The 25,111-nt window shown below is 38.3% G+C and overlaps 1 protein-coding gene across 26 annotated transcripts in view, besides 1 other annotated feature; it reads left to right on the forward strand.

The window, feature by feature from the left end:
• Positions 1 to 25,111, forward strand: part of INTS6L (integrator complex subunit 6 like) — a 61,851-nt gene that overhangs the window by 11,412 nt on the left and 25,328 nt on the right. For 20 of the 26 annotated variants that reach the window (XR_007068183.1, XR_001755666.2, NM_001351601.3 and 17 more), the window contains 7 exons: positions 13,352 to 13,501; positions 14,309 to 14,398; positions 14,631 to 14,814; positions 15,066 to 15,194; positions 17,571 to 17,734; positions 19,923 to 20,075; positions 24,097 to 24,229. Coding sequence is in view for 22 of the 26 variants with exons in the window: in NM_001351601.3 (NP_001338530.1) it covers positions 13,352 to 13,501; positions 14,309 to 14,398; positions 14,631 to 14,814; positions 15,066 to 15,194; positions 17,571 to 17,734; positions 19,923 to 20,075; positions 24,097 to 24,229 (1,003 nt within the window). In the remaining 4 variants the exon portion in view is untranslated. Of the gene's footprint in view, positions 1 to 13,351; positions 13,517 to 14,308; positions 14,399 to 14,630; positions 14,815 to 15,065; positions 15,195 to 17,570; positions 17,735 to 19,922; positions 20,076 to 24,096; positions 24,230 to 25,111 lie in introns of those variants that run through there. The other 6 variants (NR_147256.3, XR_001755668.2, XM_047441913.1 and 3 more) reach the window with 4 other exon arrangements.
• Positions 12,622 to 12,701: an enhancer, noted in NCBI's record as "active region_29984". NCBI's record gives its function as "activates an Ori minimal core promoter by ATAC-STARR-seq in GM12878 lymphoblastoid cells {active_cell/tissue: GM12878}" and the evidence as "EXISTENCE:reporter gene assay evidence [ECO:0000049][PMID:35858748]".

Below are 25,111 nucleotides of genomic sequence, written 5' to 3' on the forward strand. Positions count from 1 at the left end.
ACTCTAGACCAAAATGGTTTCATTTAAATTGGCCTGAAGTTGCCTGGAGGCACTGCTGTTTAATCAGAAGGGCCAGTCCCTCTTTGAATTTTTGTCTCTGCCAAAGACAGCCCACATAACTAGACAGTGGACAATAGGATTCCAGGGAGAATATCTAGCCTTTAATATAGCCATGGCATTGGAAAGTGGAGACCCCCTCCTGTTTTATTTCTTGAAGGAGGATGTTGGCGATATGCAGAGCAAAGCTCTCCACTTTTCTTAATAGCTTACGTAGGTGCGTAAACATTGTAAACTCCCTTTCATAGTGATGCCTTTGAGTTGTGTGTTAGAAGTAGATTTAGGCTATAGCTAGGTACTTTTATAAAATCAGATTTTAAAAAGTGGACATAGTACATCCAGTCTAGTAGATCATACCATCTACTGTCATGTAATATGGCAAACTGTATCATTGTCACTTCAGTAGCTCTGTCAAAAGTGCTGGACTGGAAGGCAAGAGATCCATGTTCTTAACCTGAGTCTGTTACTAATTACACACATGACCCCAGGCAAGTCACTTAACCTTTTATGGTGTCAGTTTCCTCATCTGTTAAATGAAGGGATTAGACTAGATTATTTCCAGGACTCCTTCCGAAAAAGTACAGGAGAGAGTTGTATAACTGAAAGGCAGAAAGTGGAATAATTGAGGCTTGGAATTCAGGGTGACTTAAAAATTACTTTAGGCTGGACATGGTGGCTCACACCTGTAATCCCAGCACTTTGGGAGGCTGAGGTGGGAGGACCACTTGAGCCCAGGAGTTTGAGACAGCCTAGGAAACACGGCAAGACCTTGTCTCTACAAAAAATAATTAAAAAAAAATTAGCCTGGCATAGTGGCACATGCCTGCAGTCCCAGCTTCTCAGGAGGCTGAGGTGGGAAGATCACTTGAGCCCAGGATTACAAGACTGAAGTTAGCTATGTTCACACCACTGCAGTCCAGCCTGTGCCACAAAGTGAGATCCTGTCTCAAAAACAAAAACAAAAACAAAAACAAAAAAACAACTTTTAAATTTTAGAAAACAGGTCCTGGATGTGTTTAATGTGCTATATCACACACTTAGTGGTTACATTGGTAAATGCCACTCCATCTTATTGATGTCAATTCTGTTTGCTGTAAACAATTTAATAACGTTCATGACAGAGTCCTATCAATACTTTGGAAGAGTGAGAGTGAGGGTTTGGTGAACAGACAGACTAACTTTGTATTTTGTTGGGATTTTTAACAATGAATGCATGTTACTTTTACCACGTAAAAAGTAGCTCATAACAATTTTTTTGAAATTATTTATTTTCATTAACTTTTATTTTAAGTTCTAGTGTACATGTGCAAAATGTGCAGGTTTGTTAACATGTGCCATGGTGGTTTGCTGCATAGATCATCCCATTACCTATGTGTTAAGCCCAGCATCCATTAGCTATTCTTCCTGATGCTCTCCCTTCCCCCACCCCCATTCACAGGCCCCACCCAGTGTGTGTGGTTCCCCCCATGTGCCCATGTGTTCTCATGGAAGAATTTTTCCTAAAAGAATTAGTCCTGGGGAAAGAGGTGCTGTGTAATCTTCAGAACGTAATAAATGGCCATTCTGCTATCTCATATGTTCAACACTTTCTGCAATGCTTAGGTGGCTTAGTCTCACTCCTGTCCATGTATGTTTTTTCCAAGGCCAAAAATTTTTATTATTTTGTGTATCTGTCCATAAATGAGCCAAAATGTAACTAACTGAATGTGTGATATGCACAATAGCAGTTTTTTTTCCTGATAATAGGTATTAGTTGATAGCTGCAGTTGAAATAGTCTGAGACTGGGAAAGGAAACTTTTCACATTTAAGTATGACCAAGTTTAGTAAGTTCTAAGATGTTTCTGCTTCAGTAGCAGTGCAATTGACTTTTGGAGGGAGGAGAAAAGCTTCTAAAATTATTGGTTTCTACGTGTTACTGTCCACTGGTGAAGGTCAGATTTCTTTGGATATTATCATGTTTTCCAGTAAACTTTGAGAAGTGTGCTGCTTCACAATTTTATCCTAATTCCCTGGGGTAATAATTGAAAACTTCATAAACATATTTTTAAAATTTTCTAGATCCTTATGATTGTTTATATGCTTAAAAAACTTCATACTAGATATTAATTTAAAGAGGTCAGTAAAACAAAATGGTGAACTATGTGTCAGTGGAATCAAACTGTGAATCATTTCTTTGCCCAGTTTCGTTAAAATATGTGATCATGTGAGTCTTTAACTGTCTGCTGAAGATCAGTGCAGCAGGCCACAGACTGTTAAATACATTTCTGCAATATATCGGGGGAGGTCAATTTCTTAATATCTTTGTTAAAAAGTAGAAGACGCAAGTAAACTAGATTTCATACATGTAGTCTTGGTTGGTAGTATCTCCTGAAGCATGTGGAGGAAAATTGGTAGATCGAAACAGAATGATAGCATTCAGAGTTCTCAGGGAGAGAACCGATTTAATCAAATAAAATGGGCTTTGCACATTTCGGCAAGTTCAAGACACTAAGAAAAGCCCTTGGGGAAGTAACTTTTATAAAACTGAATCCAAGAGAACTGGTTTTTCTTTTCTTTTTTTTTTTTTTTTTTTAAATAGAGTCTTGCTCTGACACCCAGGCTAGGGTGTAGTGGCGTTATCGTAGCTCACTGTAGCCTTGAACTCCTGGGTTCAAGCGATTACCACTTGGGGCTACAAACACATGCCACTATGGTTGGCTAATTTGTATGTTAATTTTTTGTAGAGAGAGGAGTCTCGCTGTGTTGCCCAGGCTGATCTTGAACTCGTGGGCTCCAGTGATCCTCTCTCCTCAGCCTCCCAAAGTGTTGGGATTACAGGTGTGAGCCACTGCACCCAGCCTGGCTATCCTTTAAAAAGTAATTTTAAAGCTACACTATACATTTAAAACACAGAACACTAAAATACCTCCTTTGAGCGTTGAAGTATATTAGTACCTTGAGTAAAGTGAGAAAAGCACAAAAAAAGTGAAATCTGGCCAAATTGTTGGAGTATCAGGGAAAAAGTTGTGTCAGGGTCAGAAAATATAAGCAAGAAGGAAGTTTTTAGGGGAGGTACAAGAAGGAAGACAGTTCCATTCTTATAATGATATAATGTATTCTTAGTGTGTACTTTATAATTGTAACAACCTCCTTTATAGGTGTGCTAGCTGTAAAAATCATTTTACAAAGATATTTCAACAGTTTAAGGTGATTCAGCTGTCACAGTGTTCTGTTACCTAAGAGAGCAAGTAAACCTTGTCTTTGTTATCAGAATTGGAGTCCATTTTAATTGTGAGAAGAAAATTCCTGAAGTTGAGAAGTTTTAACTTGCCCAAATATTCAGGGCAAAGACCAAGAGAAAAGTCATTTGTCTCCTCGGGAGACAGAGATGATTGGAAAAGCAGGGCTTCTTATTTTTCATGTCATTCCATCTCACTGGTGAGTTTACCAATGCAGGAACAGTTTGTGATGACAGAGATGACAGAATGCTAAGTTGAAGAAGAAAGTGAGTTGGTTGAAAAATACTGTTGGAATTGATTTATGCAAATTTTCTGGGTTGTTTCAGAGCAAGTTTTCCCCAAACTTATGGAGAGCAGATGGAAAAAGGAAAATAGTTTATCTTTCAACAAGAGAAATGATGGCCCTGCTAAATTTAGACTCTGGCTTTAACTTGTGACATCTGGGAAAATACTCAAATCTGTTAATCATTTAGTTTGTATAACCACCTAGAAGAGCCCAATGTCCAGGATAGACCTCTAACATGGGCTTACAAATGGCAGATATTACCAGGCTGATTTAATTTCCTTTAATAAAAGATAAAAAGTCTTGTCAAGGAGAGGAAAGCAACATGCATTGGCTTTCTGGATGTCAACAAGGTTTTCCTTCATTCATTGTGAAGAGCTTGCTAACAAGCTAGGAAGATTTGGACTGGACTGCACTGCTCCTCAGGGGAATGTCCAGATAGGCTGCAGGATGTATGTGCCTAAAACAGGTCAGTGCAGTGGCTCAGCACCAAGTCAGGGGGACACCACAAATGGAGCCTCCCAGCAAGAAGTTTTGTCACTGCTGTGTGAAGGAGCCTGGCTTGTGAAAATTCATAACGTACAAGGATTCTTTTTACTGTTTGGAAAGATTCATTGCCAGTCCCTTTAAATAGCTACCACCCTAGAGAATATTAATCATTCAACTATTTTTTTTTATTTATAAATAGTCAATTCACATACAGTTTGTAAGGGTTACTTTTCTTGTGGAAAGTTAGGTACAGCTGCCCTAAATATCTTTATCGGTTACCTTGGCTGGGGAAATTAACAGCATGTTTATTAAACTTGTACATTATACTGTGTTATAACATTATACCATTTTCCAAATATTAGTAAGGTCGCTAACATTTTGGAAAAGGATTACAAGTGACCTTTAGAGATAGAACAGGAGTTTTTCAGAAAGGCCTCTAACACCACTCCCACATCCCCTTCGAGGACAGTTGATCTGCTTTTATCTCTTTTACTTGTTCTTAGTTCCTGGCAAGATTTCAATGGAGGAAAAGGCTTCTCTATTTAAAAAAAATAAAAATCAATGAAAATTAATGAATCGGAGAAATGGCCTGGCTAAAATGGGATGAAGTTCAGTATTAGGATACTGAGGGATACTAAAGTTTAGGGGAGCCACTAAATAACACTCCTTCATTTCCCTCCTCCACTTGAAATCTATTGAGAAGTAAGACACAGAAGCCAGCCAGAGTTCCAAATTACAGCTTTATTCCTGATCAAAGCTGGAGGAAAGGATGTAGCCTACATGTGTGTTCTGAAAAGCTTCCAAGTAGTTCACATATTGACAGACCTACCCTATGGGTCTGTTGTAGGGGTGGAACCTACCCCTTTAGCACCACATGTCAGAGAACATACCAGAATATTCAAAAGAGCTTCAGCAACAGGCCTGCAGAGAGCATGCCAGTTTCCTGTTTGCAAACCAACCAGTCAGATGAGAAGGTGGAAATGTGGGTGCAGAGGGTAATAGAAAATATTGCTTTTAGGCTTTGCCCTTCTGAGGAGAAAAGTGCAAATTCTCTCCTTCCTGTGGTGATGTAAGTGGAGAATAAATAGCTAGTGGCTAGTCAGATCAAGCTGGGACAAGAACCCAGGTCACTGATAGAAAGGCCCATGTTTTTCTGTTGGTATGAAAAGACATTTTTAGTTGACTATGGAAACTTAAACCCGATCTGAATTAACATATTGAATTAACATTTATTGAGACAGGAGGTGTTCTCTTTCTGTAAGTCAGATTTACATGAAGGATTGTTACAGGGTGTAGAATTATAAGATACATAAGTCTGATTTATATTAAAGGAACGTATAGAATTATAGGATATAAAAACTGCAAGGGACCTTAGAGTTGGTTTTTCAGCCCTTTCATTCCTTGGGTGAGGAAACAGCCACAGTGGGATTAAGTGACTTACTCTAGACCACTTGCCAAGCGAGTTAGTGACAGCTAGGAATAGACTAGGCCCTTCTAATTCTTAATTCACTGTTCCCCACACCTAATTGTTCTGTACTTAGATGTCAGGGAAAGTAGGCTTAAATTAAAATGAAATTTGAAAAATTTATTAAACTTATAAACTAATCTAACAAGACATATTTGTGAAGTGAATATAGGCTTACCATGAAGATAGTGCAGGTTCAATTCCCAGACCACCACAATGAAGTGAGTCACAAGAATTTTTTGCTTTCCCAATTCATGGAAAAATTATGTTTACACTATACTGTAGTCTATTAAGTGTGCAATAGCATTATGTCTAAAAAACAATGTATACACCTTAATTTAAAATACTTTGTTGCTAAAAAAATGTTAATGATCAACTGAGCTTTCAGCCAGTCATAATCTTTTTGCTGGTGGACAGTCTTGCCTTGATGTTGATGGCTGCTGAGTGATCAGGGCAGTTGTTGCTGAAGGATGGGGGTGGCTGTGGCAATTTCTTAAAATAAGACAACTATGAACTTTACCGCATCGGTGAACGCTTCCTTTCAGGAAAGTTTTCTCTGAAGCATGCAGTGCTTTTTGATAACATTTTACCCACAGTAGAACTTCTTTCTATTTTCTTTTATTGGAGTCCATCCTCAAACTCTGCCACTGATGTATAAACTCAGTTTATATAATATTGTAAATCCTTTGTTGTCATTTCAACAATGTTCACAACATCTTCACCATGAGTAGATTCCATCTCAGGAAACCACTTTATTTGGTTATTCATAAGAAACAACTCATTCATTAAAGTTTTATTATGAGATTGAAGCAATTCAGTCACATCCTTAGCTTCACTTCTAAATCTAGTTCTCATGCTCTTTCTACCACTTATGCAGTTACTTCCTCCACTGGAGTTTTGAACCCCTTAAAGTCATCCATGAAGGTTGGAATCACCTTCTTCCAAACTCCTGCTAATGTTGGTATTTTGACCTCCTCCCATGAATCACGAATGTTCTTAATGTCGTCTAGAATGTTGAATCATTCCCAGAAGGTTTTCAACTTTTCCCAGACGCATCACAGGAATCACTATCTATGGCAGCTATAGCCCTACAAAATGTACTTCTTAATAGCCTTACAAAATGTATTTTTTAAATAATAAAACTTGAAAGTCAAAATGACTCCTTCACCCACGGGCTGCAGAATGGATGTTGTGTTAGCAGGCATGACAACAACATTGATCTCCTTGTACATCTACATCAGGGCTCTTGGGTGGCCAGGTGCATTGTCGATGATCAATAGTATTTTGAAATGAATCTTTTTTCCTGAGCATTAGGTCTCAAAAGAGGGCTTAAAATATTCGGTAAACCATGCTGTAAACAGATGTGCTGTCATCCAGGTTTTGTTGTTCCATTGCTAAAGCACAGGCAGAGTAGATGTAGCATAATTCTTAAGGGCCCTTGGATTTTCAGGATGGCAAATGAATGTTGGCTTCAGCTTAAAGTCGCCAGCTGCATTAGCCTCTAACAAAAAGTCAGCCTGTCCTTTGAGGCTTTGAAGTCAGGCATTGACTTCTCCTTTCAAATTATGAAAGTCCTAGATTGCATCTTCTTCCTATAGAAGTCCGCTTCATCTACATTGAAAATCTGTTGTTTAGTGTAGCCAATCTCATCAGTGATCTTAGCTAGATCTTCTGGATAACTTGCTACAGCTTCTATATCAGCACCTGCTGCTTCACCTTGCACTTTTATGACATGGAAGTGGCTGCTTCTTCTAGCTTCAAAGTTTTCTTCTGCAGCTTCCTCACCTCTCTCAGCCTTCATAGAGTTGAAGATTCATTCCATCAACTCTAGGAAGAGTTAGGGCCTTGCTCTGGATTAGGCTTTGGTTTAAGGGAATGTTGTAGCTGATTTGATCTTCTATCCAGACCACTAAGTCTTTCTCCATCTCGGCAATGTGGCTGTTTTTCTTCTTACTCCTGTGTTTCCTGAAGTAGCATTTTAAATTTTCTTCAAGAGCTTCCTTTGTATTCACAACGTGGCTAACTGGTGCAAGAGGCCTAGCTATCTCAGCTTTCGACATGCCTTCCTCACTAAGTTTAATCATTTCTAGCTTTTGATTTAAAGCGAGAGAAGTGCAACTGTTCCTTTCACTTGAACGCTTAAGAGTCCATTGTAGGGTCACTAATTGGCCTGATTTCAATATTGTTGTGTCTCAAGGAATAGGGAGGCCTGAGGAGAGGGAGAGAGATAGGGAACAGCTGGTCGATGGAGCAGTTAGGACACATACAACATTTATCGATTAAGTTCACTGCCCTCTTATGTGGGTATGGTTCATGGTGCCCCAAAATAATTACAATAGTAACATCAAAGCTCACTGATCATAGATCACCATAAAAGATATAATAATAATGAAAAAGTTAGAAATATTGCAAAAATTACCAAAATGTAACAGAGAAACACAAAGTGAGCACATGCTGTTGGAAAAATGGCACTGATAATACAGGGCTGCCACAAACATTCAATTTGTAAAAAATGCAATATCTGTGTGGTGCAATAAAGCAAAGCACCATAAAATGAGGAATGCCAATATACATAATGTGTGGAAGAGTGGTTTAAATTGGTGGGCTCTGAAGTTAGGCTATCTGGATTCAAATCTTGGCTGTGCCATTTCCTAGTTGTCTGGCCTGGACAAGTTACCTCGCTTTCCCAAGCCTCAGTATCCTCATGTATAAAGTGAAGATAGTAACAGCACCTACCCAGAGGGTGGTTGTGAGGTTCATGTAAGAAGGATGTATATTACATGCTATGCTTAGTATAAGTGAGTTCCTAACATATAAGCACTGATAAATATTAGCTATCATTAGTCATCATCATGATTATTTTACCTTGGAGAGACTTAAAATTTGACCTGTGAAGATAATAAACCCTTAGCTTAGGATTCTACCCATCCTAAGTTACTCCTTTGTCCTAAACCTCCATTCTTTAGGCCTCTTGTAATCATCTTTTACTGTCTATCCTTTGGCCTCATGCTCTATCACCAAGTCTGTCCTATTTGTTTCACATGTTTCTCATTTAACTCTTTCATCTGCATTTCCATCCTAATTCAGGTCTTGATTCCCCAGGTGTGGCTTACTATTCAAGCCTCCTAGCTGCTCCTCCTCCTCCTCCTCCTCCTCTTCCTCCCCCTCCTCCTCCCACCCCCTTTTTTTTGAGACAGGGCCTGGTTCTGTCACCCAGGCTGGAGTGCAGTGGCATGATGGAGTGCAGTGGCATGATCATGGCACACTGCGGCCTCCACCTCCTGGGCTCAAGTGATCTTCCCGCCTCAGCCTTCTGAGTAGCTGGGACCACAGGTGCACATCACCATACCCGGCTATTTTTGTGTGTGTGTATTTTTGGTAGAGACAGGGTCTTGCCATGTTGCCTAGGCTGGTCTCGAACTCCTGAGCTCAAGCAATGTGCCGGCCTTGGCCTCCCAAAGTGTTGGGATTACAGGTGTGAGCCATCGCGCCTGGCCTCAAACCTCCTAGCTTCTTCTGACTACAGCTTCACTTTCCTGCAGGCTGTCCTGTATGTCACTATCAGACTGATTTTCCTGTTTACCCCTGCCTTGGATTCTGTAGTGTGTCTACTGTCTGCTGCTTTAAGGCCAGGCTCTCATACCTGACCTTCAGGTCTTTTAGGAACGTCAGTGTCCAATAGAAATATAATGTCAGTCATACACATAATTTAAAAATTTCTACTAGCCACATTAAAAAGTAAAAACAGGTAAAATTAATTTTACTAAAATATTTTATGTAACCAAAAATATCCAAGACATTATCATTTCAACATGTAATCAATACAAAAATAATGAGATTTTGGCATTTTTTGTTCTGCATCCTCAAAATGCCAAATGCATTCTATACTTACATCACATCTCGATCCAAACTAGCCACACATCAAGTGTTAAATAACCACATGTAGATAAAAGCCACTGTATCAGATAGTGCAGCTGTAGAATGTGACTTGCCACCACATAAACAAGACATAACTATGTTTCACTTCTTCCTTGTTTGTTAAAATAGGGATGTTAATGCCATGCCTATTTTATAGGGTTGTCCTAAGCCAATGTGAAGTGTGAAAGTGCTTTGTAAGCAGTAAAGTTCTGTAAGAATGTATGGAAGTTATTATCAGGAGTGAAGGTTTTTACTAACATAAGAATACAATATCTTTGGAGTAAAGTAATTTAAAAGAAAAACCCATATTAAGGAGGCAAATTAGCTGTCCTGAATTCATTTGTGAAAAAAATTAACTCTAAGCAATGAATGGAGAGTGTAAATGTATACTCACTATCTCTTTATAATTATCTTTTTGGTAGAAATTTATCACATTAATAAGATTCTCTAAATACTTCAATAAATCTGTGGGCCTTTTTTCCTTCAGCATGTTGAGCAATGGACATAGGGACATTTGGTTCTTCTCTTGATATAGGGAGCTGGACCCCTACCAAAGAGTTCATTGCTCTTGGTAGTAAATGTAGCCTACATACTTTGTAGTACTGAGGTAGGAGTGGCATTAAAATTTCCCATATCATCCAATTCATTGCAAAGAATAGGAATTAACCTACAAACAATGTCAGAGATTTAGATACAGAAACTATTAATATTTGGGCCGGGCGCAGTGGCTCACACCTGTAATCACAGCACTTTAGGAGGCCAAGGCAGGCAGATCACCTGAGCTCAGGAGTTCAAGACTGCCCTGGGCAACATGGTGAAACCCTGAATATACTAAAATATAAAAAATTAGCCAGGCATGGTGGCACACGCTTGTAGTCCCAGCTACTCAGGAGGCTGAGGCACAAGAATCGCTTGAACCTGGGAGGTGGAGGTTGCAGTGAGCCGAGATCGTGCCACTGCACCCCAGCTTGGGCTACAGAGTGAGACTCCATCTCAAAAAAAAGGAAAGAAAAAGAAAAAGAGAGAGAGAGAAGGAGAGAAGGGAGGGAGGGGAAGGAAGGAAGGAAGGAAGGAAACTATTAATATTTGTAAAATGCTTTCATTTCATATTCTGTATTCTGACAGATTGGTGAATAGCACCACTAACGATAAGGACACATTATTTTAAATAAAGATGAGTCATAAAGTGGTACCCAAATCTTATCCTAGCCCTTTACCAAACCAAATAGTCCACTAATTTTTAAAAATTATACCTTGAACTACCACATGGCCCTTCAGGTGTTCAAATTTAATATATAACCTTTGTTACCAGTGTGGAAATAAGATTGCTAAACGAAGTGACTCCAAAAACAAGAATCAATTTTATATAATGGCTTCAGGGTAAAGGACCCCCGCCCACCATTTACAAGTTTGCCAAAGCCAGAAACTTCAACATAATGCATGACCTTTTCTTTCTCACCTGTCCCTCTAATTAGCTACTAAATCCTTAGGACTCCTCCTCTGAAATACTTCCTTAATCTGCAACCTCCTCTCCATCCCCACTGCCCTAACTCAGCCTTTCATCACTTTTCTCGTAAGCTCTTTCAGCAGTCTCCAAACCAGTTTCCCTGCCTCAAGCTTCAGCCTCCCCTCCACCCCACAATTTATTCTCCAACTACCAGCAGAGATCTTAGTAAAATAAAGATCTGATCATACCACTCCCCGGATTTAAAACCTTGAGTTCTTCCCAGGGCCAGCAGATAAAATCCAAACTGCTGAGCATGGTGTACAAAGCACTTTATAGTCAGAGCCCAAATTATCTTAATCAGCCTTGCCTCCTGCCATGTGCCCAGAGCAATGATAATCAGATTACTGGTGGTTCTCAAGTAAGTCCTATCCTTTTATCTGTTCTCTTCCCTTGCACAGTCCCCTCCACCCCTCACATCAGTGAGTCTCATGATCTTCACTCCATCCCATCAGTATTTCTCAAATGTCCCACTTTCAGTGAGAAGCCTTCCCTCACTCTCTGGTCACTTGTTCTTTCAGTCTCCATAAGTGCATCTCTTATTCCTTTGTGGCAGGAACCCCTCAAGAGCTAATTCCTCTCTATATCCCCAGCACGTAGCATTCTGCCAAGTATAGCATAGTTTGTCAGTAAAAAATCTGTTGAATAAATACATGAAAAAATTGATCCTCTCCACCCAAATGTACACCTTTCTCTTCTACCCCAAAGAAGAAATCTAATTTCCTAATTCAGTGTGATTTATAATCAACTACTGATAGTTCCAGGTATTTGAAAAGATACTTTAAATCATAATGCTTCCTTTTCACTAAAGTTCAGTTTATCTAGTCCAATAAGATTTTCCTTGGGCCATAAAGAGTTATTCTCATTCCCTATATTTCCAGTACTAAAAGTCATATATACAATTTGGCCAAAGGAGCACCTGGAAAGTTTTAACCTTTAAATGCTTCGACCTATAGGATATGTTAGGAACATTAAAATAAAAGACAACAAACTAAGCACATCTTTAATTTCACAAGAATTGCCAGCTATTGGACCTGGAGTGAATCTTAACCAAGATCACCTTCACCTTGAAGGGTTATGCAGGTTGTGTTCTGTTTAACCCTAGGGGGCGCCACTCTCACAGATTATGATGTGAATGACTGCAAGGTGGTATCATTCTCAGCCTTATACAGTGTCCCTGCTTATCAGATCATCCTCCTTTTCAGCTTAGGTCCTAAGAAGCCAACTGGTTTGCTCAAGGTCACACAGGTATTTCATAACAGGGTTCATAGCCAATAACCTGCCCCCTTTCTTACTTCCCAGTCATTCTACTAATCCAAATTGCTCTGGAAGACCATGAAACCAGAAAAGAGTGTTTGATGTAGTTGCATGGATAATGGACTATATGCCTTCAGCTAAATGTGAAATTCAAATGGTTTGGTTTATCTCGGTATCATTTGCTCTTGTTTTCCACCTCTAGCTGTACTGGCCTGGTTGGCATAACTTCAGCATTTAGCATATCACACTGCTGCTCTCAGGCTCACCGAGACTCAAGTGGCTGTTCCACTCTGTTGCCACGCTGTGCTGTCTTCTCTCTTTCTTGCTGGCCCATTCCTCTGTGACTTCCTGTTAGCTGCCACCTTCTTCTTTTAGCTTCTCTTCTCAGCACTTTTTGCTGCTTTGTTTTTATACCCATCTCAGACCAGTCAGCACGATCCTTTCCTTCCTTCTATTCTACAAACCAATCAATCACAGCATGTTGGCTGTTGACCTTGGATCTTTGGTTGTTTGCTGCTGTTCATAGCTGCTGGGCGTGGCTAGGGGATGCTGCTTCTTTGCCAAAACTTTTTGTTTCTTTTTCTTTCTCCCTTTATTCTAGATCTTGGGCTTTCTGAATGCTTGAAGATACCAGAAGGGTTATATCCAAATAAGTGTGGCTCTATTCCTATTACTCCCTCTTTACTCTTGCTTAAAAGTGAAAATATTGCTTCGGTGGAAGAATCTTGGTTAGAAGAATTAATGTAGCTCAGACAGTCAATATAGCTAATTGTCTTTACCAAGGACAATGCATTTAAAAAATAACTACTCCTTCCTCTGCCCCTTACTCCATGCTCACCATCAATGTGAAGCTAGGGTAACAGGTGTGTTGGCAGGTTTGGTTGAGCCTGAACAGAAAACTGGACCTCTTGAGCCACAGTCCTTCAGCCATAATGGACGAAGTATTTTTTGCTTCAGTTCTTTGCGCTTGATCATTAGAGCTAGCAGGTCTTTCCGAAACTGCTTGCTTTAGTTCTACCTGATCAGTGAAGATATAGAATAGAATTAGGTTAAAGAGTGGTTAATTTCTTAGAGTTTTGATACTTGCTGTTTAGTGATTGTACTTTATATATTGTTCATTGTATAATCAAGAAATTCTTTGTAAATGTTTGGTTTGCAGGCTGGTTGGAAGGAAAATCATGCAACATTCATGAGCGAACTAAAAAATCTTCAGGCTTCTGGACTGACTACTCTCGGTCAGGCTCTAAGATCCTCATTTGATTTGTTAAATCTCAATAGATTAATATCTGGAATAGACAATTATGGACAGGTAAAAATAATTTGAGTGAGTACAGCTAATTTATTTTGGTGGCTTGGGGTAAGAATTTAAAATTGGGCATGATTACTAAGTTTTCTGCTACTTTTCATAACCTCCAAAAATGAGATTCTTATTACCTTTTAAATATATACTTTTTAAAAATCCCTCTTCTTTTGGTTCTTGTATATGGCTTGATAATAGAATAGCTAAAATTGTCTACCATGAGATAATCAGATGTTTGAGAATGATGTGAATAAACGGCTGAGAAATATCGGAACAAGACAATTGGAAAGAAACTTTCAGTGTCCTTAACTCCTCTGCCCCTCCCAATTTGATGAAAAAGCTCTAGGATAAGAAGGCAGAGTAGCATTTGCTGTTGCTCCCATTGTCCTTTCCTCCTCTAAAGTCTGTGCTCACAGTAACCAGAGTCACTCTCCAGGTTGCAGCACGCAAGTCACTAGTGTCCTATCTGTGCCAGGATTTTGACTTAAGTGAATGGATTCATGAGAGTGGATGATAATGCCAGTAATCTTGTAATATTATTTTGTGATTACTTGGAAAGCAGAGTGAGAGAGGTATTTGAATGTTAATGGTTTGGGGAGTTCCTGAATTATAAGAATTCCTCAGTTTATACTGAATGTTACCTCTTCAGGGGTTGTTATTTTTATTCCTACCCATTTCGTTCCCTGGTCATTTCTTCCTTATTTATCCAGACAAATTTTATCATATTCTTGAGAGATCATTGGCAAGGCAAATATAAAAATTTAAATATACTTTTATTACTTTACATGGCTCTAATGCTTTTTAAATGTATTTTAGGGGAGAAATCCATTTTTTTTAGAACCATCTATTTTAATTACCATCACAGATGGAAACAAGTTAACAAGTACTGCTGGTGTTCAAGAAGAGGTGAGATTTTATTTTTTTTTTAATTTTGTTTAAATGGCAGGGAACATGCAGCTATTTCTGTGGGAGGCATTTCCAGTTAACAGTAAGTTTGGTCAAATCATCCATCTTGGTAATCCTTGAAAGACTGCTTAATTTTATTGAGTTACATGAAAGAAAAAGTCAACCCTTTAATTCTTTCTTCATTTTTATATGGTTTGTTATGATGAACCTTTTCACATTTTTGCCTTATCAGCTCCATCTTCCTTTGAATTCCCCTCTGCCTGGAAGTGAACTAACCAAAGAACCTTTTCGTTGGGATCAAAGGTTATTTGCCCTGGTGTTGCGTTTGCCTGGAGTGGCTTCTACCGAACCAGAGCAACTAGGGAGCGTACCAACTGATGAATCTGCCATCACACAGATGTGTGAAGTCACAGGAGGTATTGGCAATATTTAATGTTTCTGAAGGAAAAATTCAGAGCATAGAGTATATTTTTCATTAAATGCCATATCCAGTCTTTACTTGTTTTCCTTCAAAGCCTTTTAACTCTGTTGCTTAAGGTCATCATTGGTATATTTGCTGCCAATGTAGTTATGATTATTTCAAGTTATATTTTAGGATTTTAAAATGCTTATATTATGAAATTATATTTGATCAAACTTGTGCTATTTATTTTTCCTTCTGGGATAGGTCGCTCCTACTGTGTGAGAACACAAAGAATGTTGAATCAATGTTTAGAATCTCTAGTTCAAAAAGTTCAGAGTGGTGTAGTTATTAATTTTGAAAAAACAGGACCAGATCCACTTCCTATTGGAGAAGGTATAGTAGATAACTTTTTTAACCCTAAAGTGTTATATAGGAGAATGAGAAGACATTAAATAAATTACTATAGACACAGTCTTCACTATCCACGTGCATTTGAGTGGTTACAAACATACATCCAAACAACTACCACACATTCACTGCCTATGTATATGTATCAGGTGGCCAAATTCTAACAACTTTAATTTCATGTTGAATGTTCCTAAGAACGTGTTTCCTTTTCCTGGTGCATTTTATATTCCCTGGTCCCAGTCTTTGGATGGCACTGACTCATTCACCTCTCTATTCACAAAATGTCTGGAGATTCACTATGGTGTACACTTAAATAATAATCTTGTTTTGGTTTTGTGAGTGCCAAATATGCTAAGCCATCTTTACGAAATATGTGTTAGTTTCTGCACCTCAGCAAGAAATTATGAATGTTTATCCAGGAACTGCTCATCTTCTCTAAGATCCTACACTAGTATTTTCCCGGTCACTTTTTCACTCTGAAGTTAAGAGTTGAGCAACCTTTTCTCCAAATGAGATTTCACAGAAAGTTCGACATCCAAAACTTGATGAAAGTAGGGTGACTTTTGCATAGGGGAAGTTAAATCGTAGTGAATCTCTAGATGGTTTGTGAATGGATGTTTGTAATCACTTGAATGCAAATGAATTTCAAAGGGATCAGGGAACTAAACAAGCACCATGGCAACGCATTGCAAGACTTCCATGGTAATGCACTGCAAGAACAGAGCTCCTAGAAAGTCTATGTGTATATGTATGTAAATGTGTAAGTGTATATATATATATATATATACACACACACACTCCATTATTATTACCACAGTGATTGTCTAGCCTGATTTATATGTTTTAATTGCCTTGACGAAGAACAAAGGGGTCAAATGCATAAGGGCAGAAAGCTACACATTTCTGTCTGAAGCAGTGGATCCTGTGGCTCCTGATCTTTTGTTGTTGTTGTTATTGTTGTTGTTTTGCTCTTTAGTTCCCCATCCTTTTGAGAAGCTGTTGGAAAAAATATAGACCCCTTTCCCTATAAATACAGACATAAGTGACACATTCACAATTTTGTATATAATCTCAGGGGTTTTTTGGGCCTCCAAGTTAAGAACATCTGCCATAAAAGACTGAGGCCCCACAGCCTATTTTAAATTAACTGTGTAGGAAGGCCATGTTATACTGCTAGCAATCCAAAATTTCGTGCTCACTATCTTAGCATAAACTGGGAACTTACATATTGAAATTCTAGTAGGATTTGGTGTCATGTAAATGGCACAGATTTTTTTTCTAGCTCCAGTTCTCCTTTGTCCAGAGTTCTTAACCTTTCAGGTTCTGATGAAAGTTAAGAACCCTTTCCTCAGAAAAATACACATTGTCAGAATTGTGAGCTCAACTTTGGGGGGATCCTCCAAAGCCATTACACTTTTTTTCCCTACTGCACAGTGGACCCATTAAATCTCCTAGTCTAAAGAAATTACTTGTTTAAAGTAATGCTTAAATAAGTTATTCAAATGACTGATAATTTAAGAAAAATGAGACTCAAATCATTAAAGCATATCTTTTACAAATATTATCATTAAAAGTTTATATAACTCTGCCTTGCCCTGATTTGAGGCGGGGGGAGAAGGAGGAAGGAAATGAAATATGCTAGTTTAAATCATTAAAATGCATTCAGGATACATTATTCAGCATTATACAACACCCATTGTCCATGGAATTTTGATGGTGGATGGAGAAACCATAGTGAATTAGTCCACGATAAACTTGATGTGTTTGCTTTGTGCTCCCCTCAACTATATACACATTGTCTGCATTTCTTCTATCTTTAAGTGAATTTGGCTAGTTTTTATTTTGCCTTTGTGGTCATTGGGTCTAATTGTTTGGCAAAGAACACTTTTTTCTTGTATTTGGAAATAGAAAGAATATATAAATGGAATTTATGATCTATTTTTATCAGACTCCAGAAATGTAAAAACTATACCAGGGAGTGAACAATTTCATTTGCCTAATTTAGTAATTGAATTCTTGAAAAATAACTGTAGTGTTTTGATGTTTTTAATTTATGTGTACGAGTCTCAGAAAATTTAAAACTAGTTTTACCATAGTTTTCTGCATAACTGCATATTCTCTTACTAGGTTAAGAATGGTGGGGTGGGTGTTGGGTTAGAAGAGATGGATTAGACGAAAAGAGTTGCTAGAGAGAACATTTAGAAATCCTAGTAGAGTCACTTTTTTTTCTTCTTCCATTTTTCATGAATCATTGTTCTTGTTTTATTTTGGACTTTGCTTTCAGCTGGAAAATTTGTACAAGAAGATCAGCAGCTGTAAAAAGAAACTCACGCCTTAGTTTGTCTTTTGTTTAACTTTTAGATGGACTTATGGATTCATCCAGGCCAAGCAATTCATTTGCTGCTCAGCCATGGCATAGTTGTCATAAACTCATTTATGTACGACCTAACTCTAAAACTGGTGTTCCTGTTGGACATTGGCCAATTCCAGAATCTTTTTGGCCAGATCAGAATTTACCTTCACTAGTAAGTGTCATAAAATAAAAAGGTAAACATCATTCTGGATTTTCAATTTTCTGATTACAGTGAACCTTTTAAAATAGCTTTGAGGCCTTTATGCCATGCCACAGGCAAGTAAGTCTTCCCTCCTTTGCCTTCTATCTCTTACTGGAAGTCTAGCTTTGTGCCTAAAAGCAAAGGAGGACTTCCTTTATTTTCTGATACTTGTCATTCTTCAGTTGCCTTCGCCACTTGAGCTGCCCTTTTTGGATGTTAAAACATTGCTGTTTTTGATGCTGTTATAATCTGTTACTTGGTTTTCATTTCAGAGCAGCTGACTTGATTTACGTGGCAAACACAACGTCTAAAATGTACTGGCCTTGGTTTTCATGCACAGCCTCAGGAAGTTTGAACATAGTTTACACCTTGGATAGGTTCTGGGAACATATTAAAATCATATTCAAAATTCTACTTCTTCCTACTTTTCATCTTTTTGTAATCAATGGACTTTTGTAGCAATATACCTTTCAATGATGGGTAATTAAGCAATATTTAAAAAATAATCTCTAAGCAAGGACTTGTCTTTTTGGTCACTGCATTTGGTAGGAGAGGCTTTGCTATTACAGTTGCTCCCAGTGCCAGATCAATTGGCTTTTTTTTTTTTTTTTGGAGGGAGGGCAGTGTCTAGTAATAAAGGAGACGGTATGAAACCCACTCTCTTTTGTCTTCTTTCCCCTTCCCCAAATTGTAAGAGGGCCTGAGTAATCTCCCTTGTGTGGGCTCAGGAGGGGACACAAACAAATCACTACTTCTTCTATTTAACATCTTCCTAGTTCAGTTCATCTATATTCTGTCTCAGTTTTAGAAATTTCTGACAGTGAATTGCATTTTCTCCTGGATTACTGCTTTTAGGCTTCTGCCCTTTTTTCAGAAGTGGCCATGAAAGACCTGAATGTAAGACTGAAGAGCCCTTTTGGCCCCTGCTGTGGGTGAGGGTAAACGTCCCACTCCTCTCCTCAGGGCTTCAAGGTGTTACACCTGTGAAACCTCAGCCCTTCCAAACTCGAGTACAGGCTTTATGGCAAATTTACTTCATTTTTGCTAGCAACAAGTCTTCATTCATGTCTTTATGACATTTTTACCTGTTCAAATCTAAGGAGTCAGAAACCTTTCACAAGTTAATTAAAACTAAGTTGGGAAAAAACAAAATAGAATAAGACATTCCAAGTAATTCACACATAGCTCATGTTACCATTCCTCCATCTTTAAAAGTTCATTTAAGAGCTATTTTTCTCAACCCCCAAACATCTTATAATTGTAAACTATAAAGGCAAGTGAATATGTTTTCATTTTTTATAAAGGAAGCAGTGATATTTTATCATATTCATATTAGCTTTACAGGTTTCGCAACAAGAATAGGCTGACCCACTTCTTACTTTGTCTCTGGGACTTGTCCTGTGTCCCTCTCTCTCCATATTGCCCTTGCTGTTCGCCTTTCTCTCTCTGGTGCTCTCCAATCACACAAGCTAAACCTGTTACTTAAATGGCTTCTCCATTAATCTGCTCCAGCACCCCAGGTACACAGGCCTTCGAAGCCCAGCGCAAAGCATCCCCAGCTCCAGCTATTCAAGGCAAACACGTTGGTGTTAGCAATGCTGCAAAAATCCATCTGGGCCCTGGCATTGTGACTAGCTTATTATCAGTCTCTATCTTGCCCTCTCCATCCCTCTACTATTTTTCATCTTGCTTGTTCATGGCTTTAGCCCTCTCATTACCTTATTAGAAAGTTGCATGGATTTCTTCATTCCCAGCATATCTGGACTATCTGTAACCTCATGGTACAAAGGAATGAAGGGCAGGCAATTCTTGGAGGTCATAAAATAGATCTGAAATTCAACATTCATCCTACAATCATAAGCACTTCTTAAACATATTCAAAACAGTTTTTTTTCAATTCACTGAAATTTTAGTTATGAGTGTTGAAATTTACCTTTCCTCTTCCTAATGTCAAGTAGATAGTAAAGAATCTGAGCCCTCTCTCCCATGGAAGCCATTGGTGGTTCCTAGAGATCTAGTAATCTTCTTTCTCAAAATGCTAGTCTGTATTTCAGTGAAAATGTAACAAAATATAAAACGACTTGCAGAATTGTCAGAAATATAAGCTTGCTTTGAGACCTAACCATTTTTTCTGCTTTTTTTAAAAAATTTTTTTTAGCCTCCACGAACATCTCATCCTGTTGTGAGGTTCTCCTGTGTAGATTGTGAGCCAATGGTAATAGACAAACTTCCTTTTGACAAATATGAACTTGAACCTTCGCCCTTAACTCAGTATATCTTGGAACGAAAGTCTCCCCATACCTGCTGGCAGGTACTTATCCTTACCTATTAGCTAAATGTCTGTAACCACTCTAGGATCTGGGAATTGTTTTAAGAAGCTTCAAAGGTTATTCTCAAAATAATTGGACTGACTGTGCTAATGATGTTTCTCATGAATGCTGTCAAATAAGCAACAGGGCCAGGCAAATAATTTCAGACTAATATGAATCATTAGTCTACTGTACATTGCCATTTAAAGCAATAGAGTCTGATGAAACCTATATATTTGAAGATTTGGGGGACCCCTTGAAGTCTACCCATGCACCCCAGCTTAAGAATCCCTAATCTAAAGGTTGTACTTCACTTCAGGTATGGCGTCTGCAGCTGAAACAAGGTGTTTAGCCCTTACTTTGAACTTGACAGATTGGAAGTACAGGATAGTTTAGGCAGAGAACCATAAGTCCTGAAACTAATTTCTGTATTAGTGTAATATAATAAAACTCTTCGTCCTGTGGTACAAATCACACTAAAAAATGTGTGTAATGTGGATTTTGCAACTTGGATGAGACAAATGCATAGAGATATCTATCATACACTGGCTCTTCCAAGTGTTACACTTAAGCCAGAAGGATTTGCTGATTGGTTAATAGAGTCACCTATGGAATTTAATTTGTAAAAATTCAGAGATGGCAGTCACAGCCTTTTTATGTGGATACAACAAAAATGTCCTACACTGTAAAGATGTATGTTCTATTTCTAAACTGTAGAGATGTATGTTCTACTTCTATTAATATATAGGACTCTATAGCAATCAGTAACTGTTAGGCTCTATTTATGCAAGGAACACTTTCAGACTGCCATCTGTTTTATCTTAAAATGTGAGATTATTGCTACAAGTTGTCTGTAAGCTACTTAAATTCTCCCAAGATGCTACAACTAGTTAGAAAAAAAGGAGCAGGATTAAAGCAAGAATGTAAAAGCACAAGAAACAGAATAATCTCACAAACATAATACTGAGCAAAGAAGCTAGACAGAAAAGATTACATATTGTGTGATTCTATGTTATATACTTTCAGAGAGAGATAAAACTAACTTACTCTGTTAGAAGTCGGGATAGTGGTTTCTCTTGGGGGGATGCAAGGTAGTGGACAGAAGAGGACACAAGGAGATGTCTGGTTTTGTTCTCTTTCTTTCTTTCATTCTTTTTGTTTTGTTTTGTTTTGAGACAGCGTCCAGCCTGTTGCCCAGGGTGGAGTGCAGTAACACAATCTCAGCTCACTGTAGCCTCGACCTCCTTGGCTCAAGCAAAGCGATCCTCCCACCTCAGCCCCCCACAGAGGAGCTAGGACTACAGGCACACACCACAATTCCTGGCTAATTTTTTAAATTTTTTTTTTTTTTTTTTTTTTTAGAGAGACGGAGTCTCACCGTGTTGCCCAGGCTGGTCTCAAACTCCTGGGCTCAAGCAATCCTCCCACCTCGGCTTCCCAGAGTGCCGGGATGATGGCATCAACCATTGTGCCTGGCCATATTCTGTTTTTTGACTCGTGTGCTGTTTACACATGTACATTCACTTTGTGAGCATTCATTGAGCTCTATACTTATAGTTTACCCCAAAAGTGCTAGAAATGTAGAGATATGGATAATAGATTGCTAATTTAAAATAAAGATATGACCTTTGAATTTATGGGTTGAAAAACATTTTTATAATGAAAGCAAATAAAATTACAAATTATAGCTTTTCCCTAAAATAACCCCTCTTTTCTATATAGCACATTTCTTGGAAACCTTCTTCAGAGAAACTTAAGAAATGCTGTCCTTGCTTCTGCACTACCCCTTAAATATGTCATATGCCTCTTTCCTGTACTTTATGTTACTTTTTTTAGAGTATTCTTAATGTGATGAATTAGTGTTAGTGAAAAAGAATAAAATGAACCAGTAGCCAGGAAATTTGGCAAAACCACAATGGAGACCGGAGCCTAACCCTAGCTCTGTCACCAACTATGTGGCCTTGCACGAGGGACTTACATTGTCTGAACTAGCTCTAAAGATCCTTTGGAACCCTAAAAATCTATGAATCTGTGGCTGATAAGGAATTTGGAAAAACTCAAGGGGCCAAGGAAGGTAGGAAAGAGAAAGAGAGAAAGAAACAAAATTCAGTGCTTTTCCTTTCATGGGAATCATAGATCTGACCCTTGACTGCCTTGTGCATGTGATTTTTTTTATCTTTCTTTGATGAATTTTTCCTCTCTTCTAATATACACACTTAGGAAATAAAATCCAGCATGGTTTATTGCAGTTATCTGTTTCTATTATCATTCAAATTATGACACAAAATCTAGTAGACTCATGTTTTAGTACAACTCATGTTCTGTGGGGTCATAAATTACATAAATTACATTACATAATTATACCAACTTATTCTTAGTGATAATATTATAAGAAGGTAGTGAATTGGTAGGTGATATTGGTAGTACTGAGAACTAGCAAGGTAAATGGATTCTGTTAAATGTCAAGGTTCGACTTTGTTGTAAATGATTCTGCCGAAGGACTTTGGAAAAGTAAAGGACCAGGTCTCTAAAAGTATATATTGGTGGTTTGGACCAAAGACTCTGAACATGGAACAGAGAAAACATGGCAGCTAGGGGACCCCAGTACAACATATCAACTGTAAGGGGGCTGATGATACAGGAATCACATCAGGAAATCAATAAGGAGTAAGAAAATAGTCATATGGAATTAAGATCAATGTTTTAATCTTCACTGAATGTTTACTCTACCAGCATAACTTTTTTTTTTTTTTTTTTTTTTTTTGAGACAGAGTCCTGCTCTGTTGCCCAGGCTGGAGTGCAGTGGCACAATCTCAGCTCACTGCAACCTCCACCTCCTGGGTTCAAGTGATTCTGCTGCCCAGCCTCTTGAGTAGCTGGGATTACAGGCGCACCACTATGCCTGGCTAATTTTTGTATTTTTTAGTAGAGATGGGGTTTCACCATGTTGGCCAGGCTGGTCTGGAACTCCTGACCTCAGGTGATCCGCCCGCCTCGGCCTCCCGAAGTGCTAGGATTATAGGCGTGAGCCACCGCACTCAGCCACTACCAGCATAATTTATAAGAGAAATGCCTTCCAGGTTGACCCAAAGTATCTCCTTGCTGCCTCAAAATAATTAGCACCAGTGCCTGGCTTATTATAACAGGTTACTCAGTAAATATTTATTGAAAAAAAAATGGATAAATGGGTAGGGGAAGGAGGCAGCAAAGATGCATGGAGCAAAGACTTAATAATAGTACAATGAAGATGGTTTACATAATCCTTTAAGTAGGCTTTGTTTTTGTAATTTCATGCTTCAGGCATGGGACTGTGTTCTATTTTCTTCACAGTCTGCACTCTGATTACCACTTGTTCTTTTGAGAAGTTAATTTGTTTTAGTGGCTGGTTTCCTCTTAGCAGTATTTCAGCTTTATTTTTCATTTTGCTAAGTAAGTAAATATTTGGGTACTGTTGATGTGGCCTGTGGTCTCTGAATGGTTGTTGCATAGTATAGTTTCATTTCTTAATATAATTTATAGGAGAATTGCGATCTGAACATTCATATTTAGTAGGATTTTTTTTGAGACAGGGTCTCGCTCTGTCACCCAGGGTGGAGCGCAGTGGCACAGTCATGACTCACTGCAGCCTCAAGCTCCCTGGCTCAAGCCATCCTCCTGCTCAGCCTCCCAAGGATCTGGGACCATAGGCACGTGCCACCACACTTGGCTAATTTTTTAAATTTGTTGTAGAGATGAGATCTCCCTTTGTCTCCCAGGCTGGTCTCAAACTCCTGGCCTCAAGCAATCCTTCCACCTCAGTCTCCCAAAGTGTCAGGATTATAAGTGTGAGCCACCTGTAATCCTAGTACATGAGCCTGGCCTAGTATAATATATTTTGACATAACCATAGGCTAAAAACACTATTGCTATTTTAAAATTACAATCAAATTGCGCCATAGATGCTGCTATGGAATGTTACAATGGGTTTGGTTTGACATAAAATCCTTATTGTCATCACTGTGCATTACTTCATGTTATTCTCAGGTATTTGTTACTAGCAGTGGAAAGTACAATGAACTTGGATATCCATTTGGTTATTTAAAAGCCAGTACAACTTTAACTTGTGTAAACCTCTTTGTGATGCCTTACAACTACCCAGTTTTACTTCCTCTTTTAGGTAAGTAAAACATGTGCCACTGAATCATCTTTAAAATACAACAGAAATGAAAAATCGATAATAGACTAAGCATTTTAAATGTAGATGACGGTAACAAATTGATTTGAAAGGATAGAATTTGCATACTGTTTTCTGTTTTGTTTGTTTTCTTTTTGTTGTTTTTACATCAAACAGAAGAGAAGCTTGACTTTCAGTGTGTGATTCTTATGCTTGTTCTTCAGGTTGCAACTTCCAATGCACACCCCACCCCCAATCCCCAGTTTGAAGTGCACTTGGCTTTTTTGTATAGTTTGGGCCAAAAAATACCAAAACAGAGCTACCATGGGGTGGGAGTAATGGCTTGTGCTTGTTTCCCCTCAGAAGATAAATGCTCTTGAGGCATCTGTTTTAGGCAGAGTAGTGAGTTAAGAAAATAGGTACCAGAGTAAATTCTGCAATGACTGTGGTTGTAGAAGCTGTGATTTCCATAGCAAGGTTCTAAAAGGAACAACTCAAGAAGCTGTTACTCAGATACTAATGAAAATGTGTGTGGAGATATTTTCCCCTTATTGGAAGAGCCACATCTGTTTAGAGTAATGTAGTACTTACTGCACAGTATCCTAGTTGTAAAGTTGTAAATGTTTTTATTTCGTGGAGTTTCTTAATTTTTGCAAAAAGGGTCGAATCTTTACTAAGTTTTCATACGATCATTAAAACTATGAGACTTTTAGTGCTATAAATACAACATACATTGAATATACTGAAATTGCAATACTTTTACATGTCGATTTAAGAAGTTTAAGAATGAGTCATCGTAAATGTATTAGCATGATTATTTTAAATAACCTATCTACTTTATTTCTTAGTGCAACCTAAGAGGGATGTTCTCTTTCTAAGAGCTGA

The sequence above is a fragment of the Homo sapiens genome, chromosome X (assembly GCF_000001405.40).
Source record: "Homo sapiens chromosome X, GRCh38.p14 Primary Assembly".
Taxonomy (NCBI): domain Eukaryota; kingdom Metazoa; phylum Chordata; class Mammalia; order Primates; family Hominidae; genus Homo; species Homo sapiens.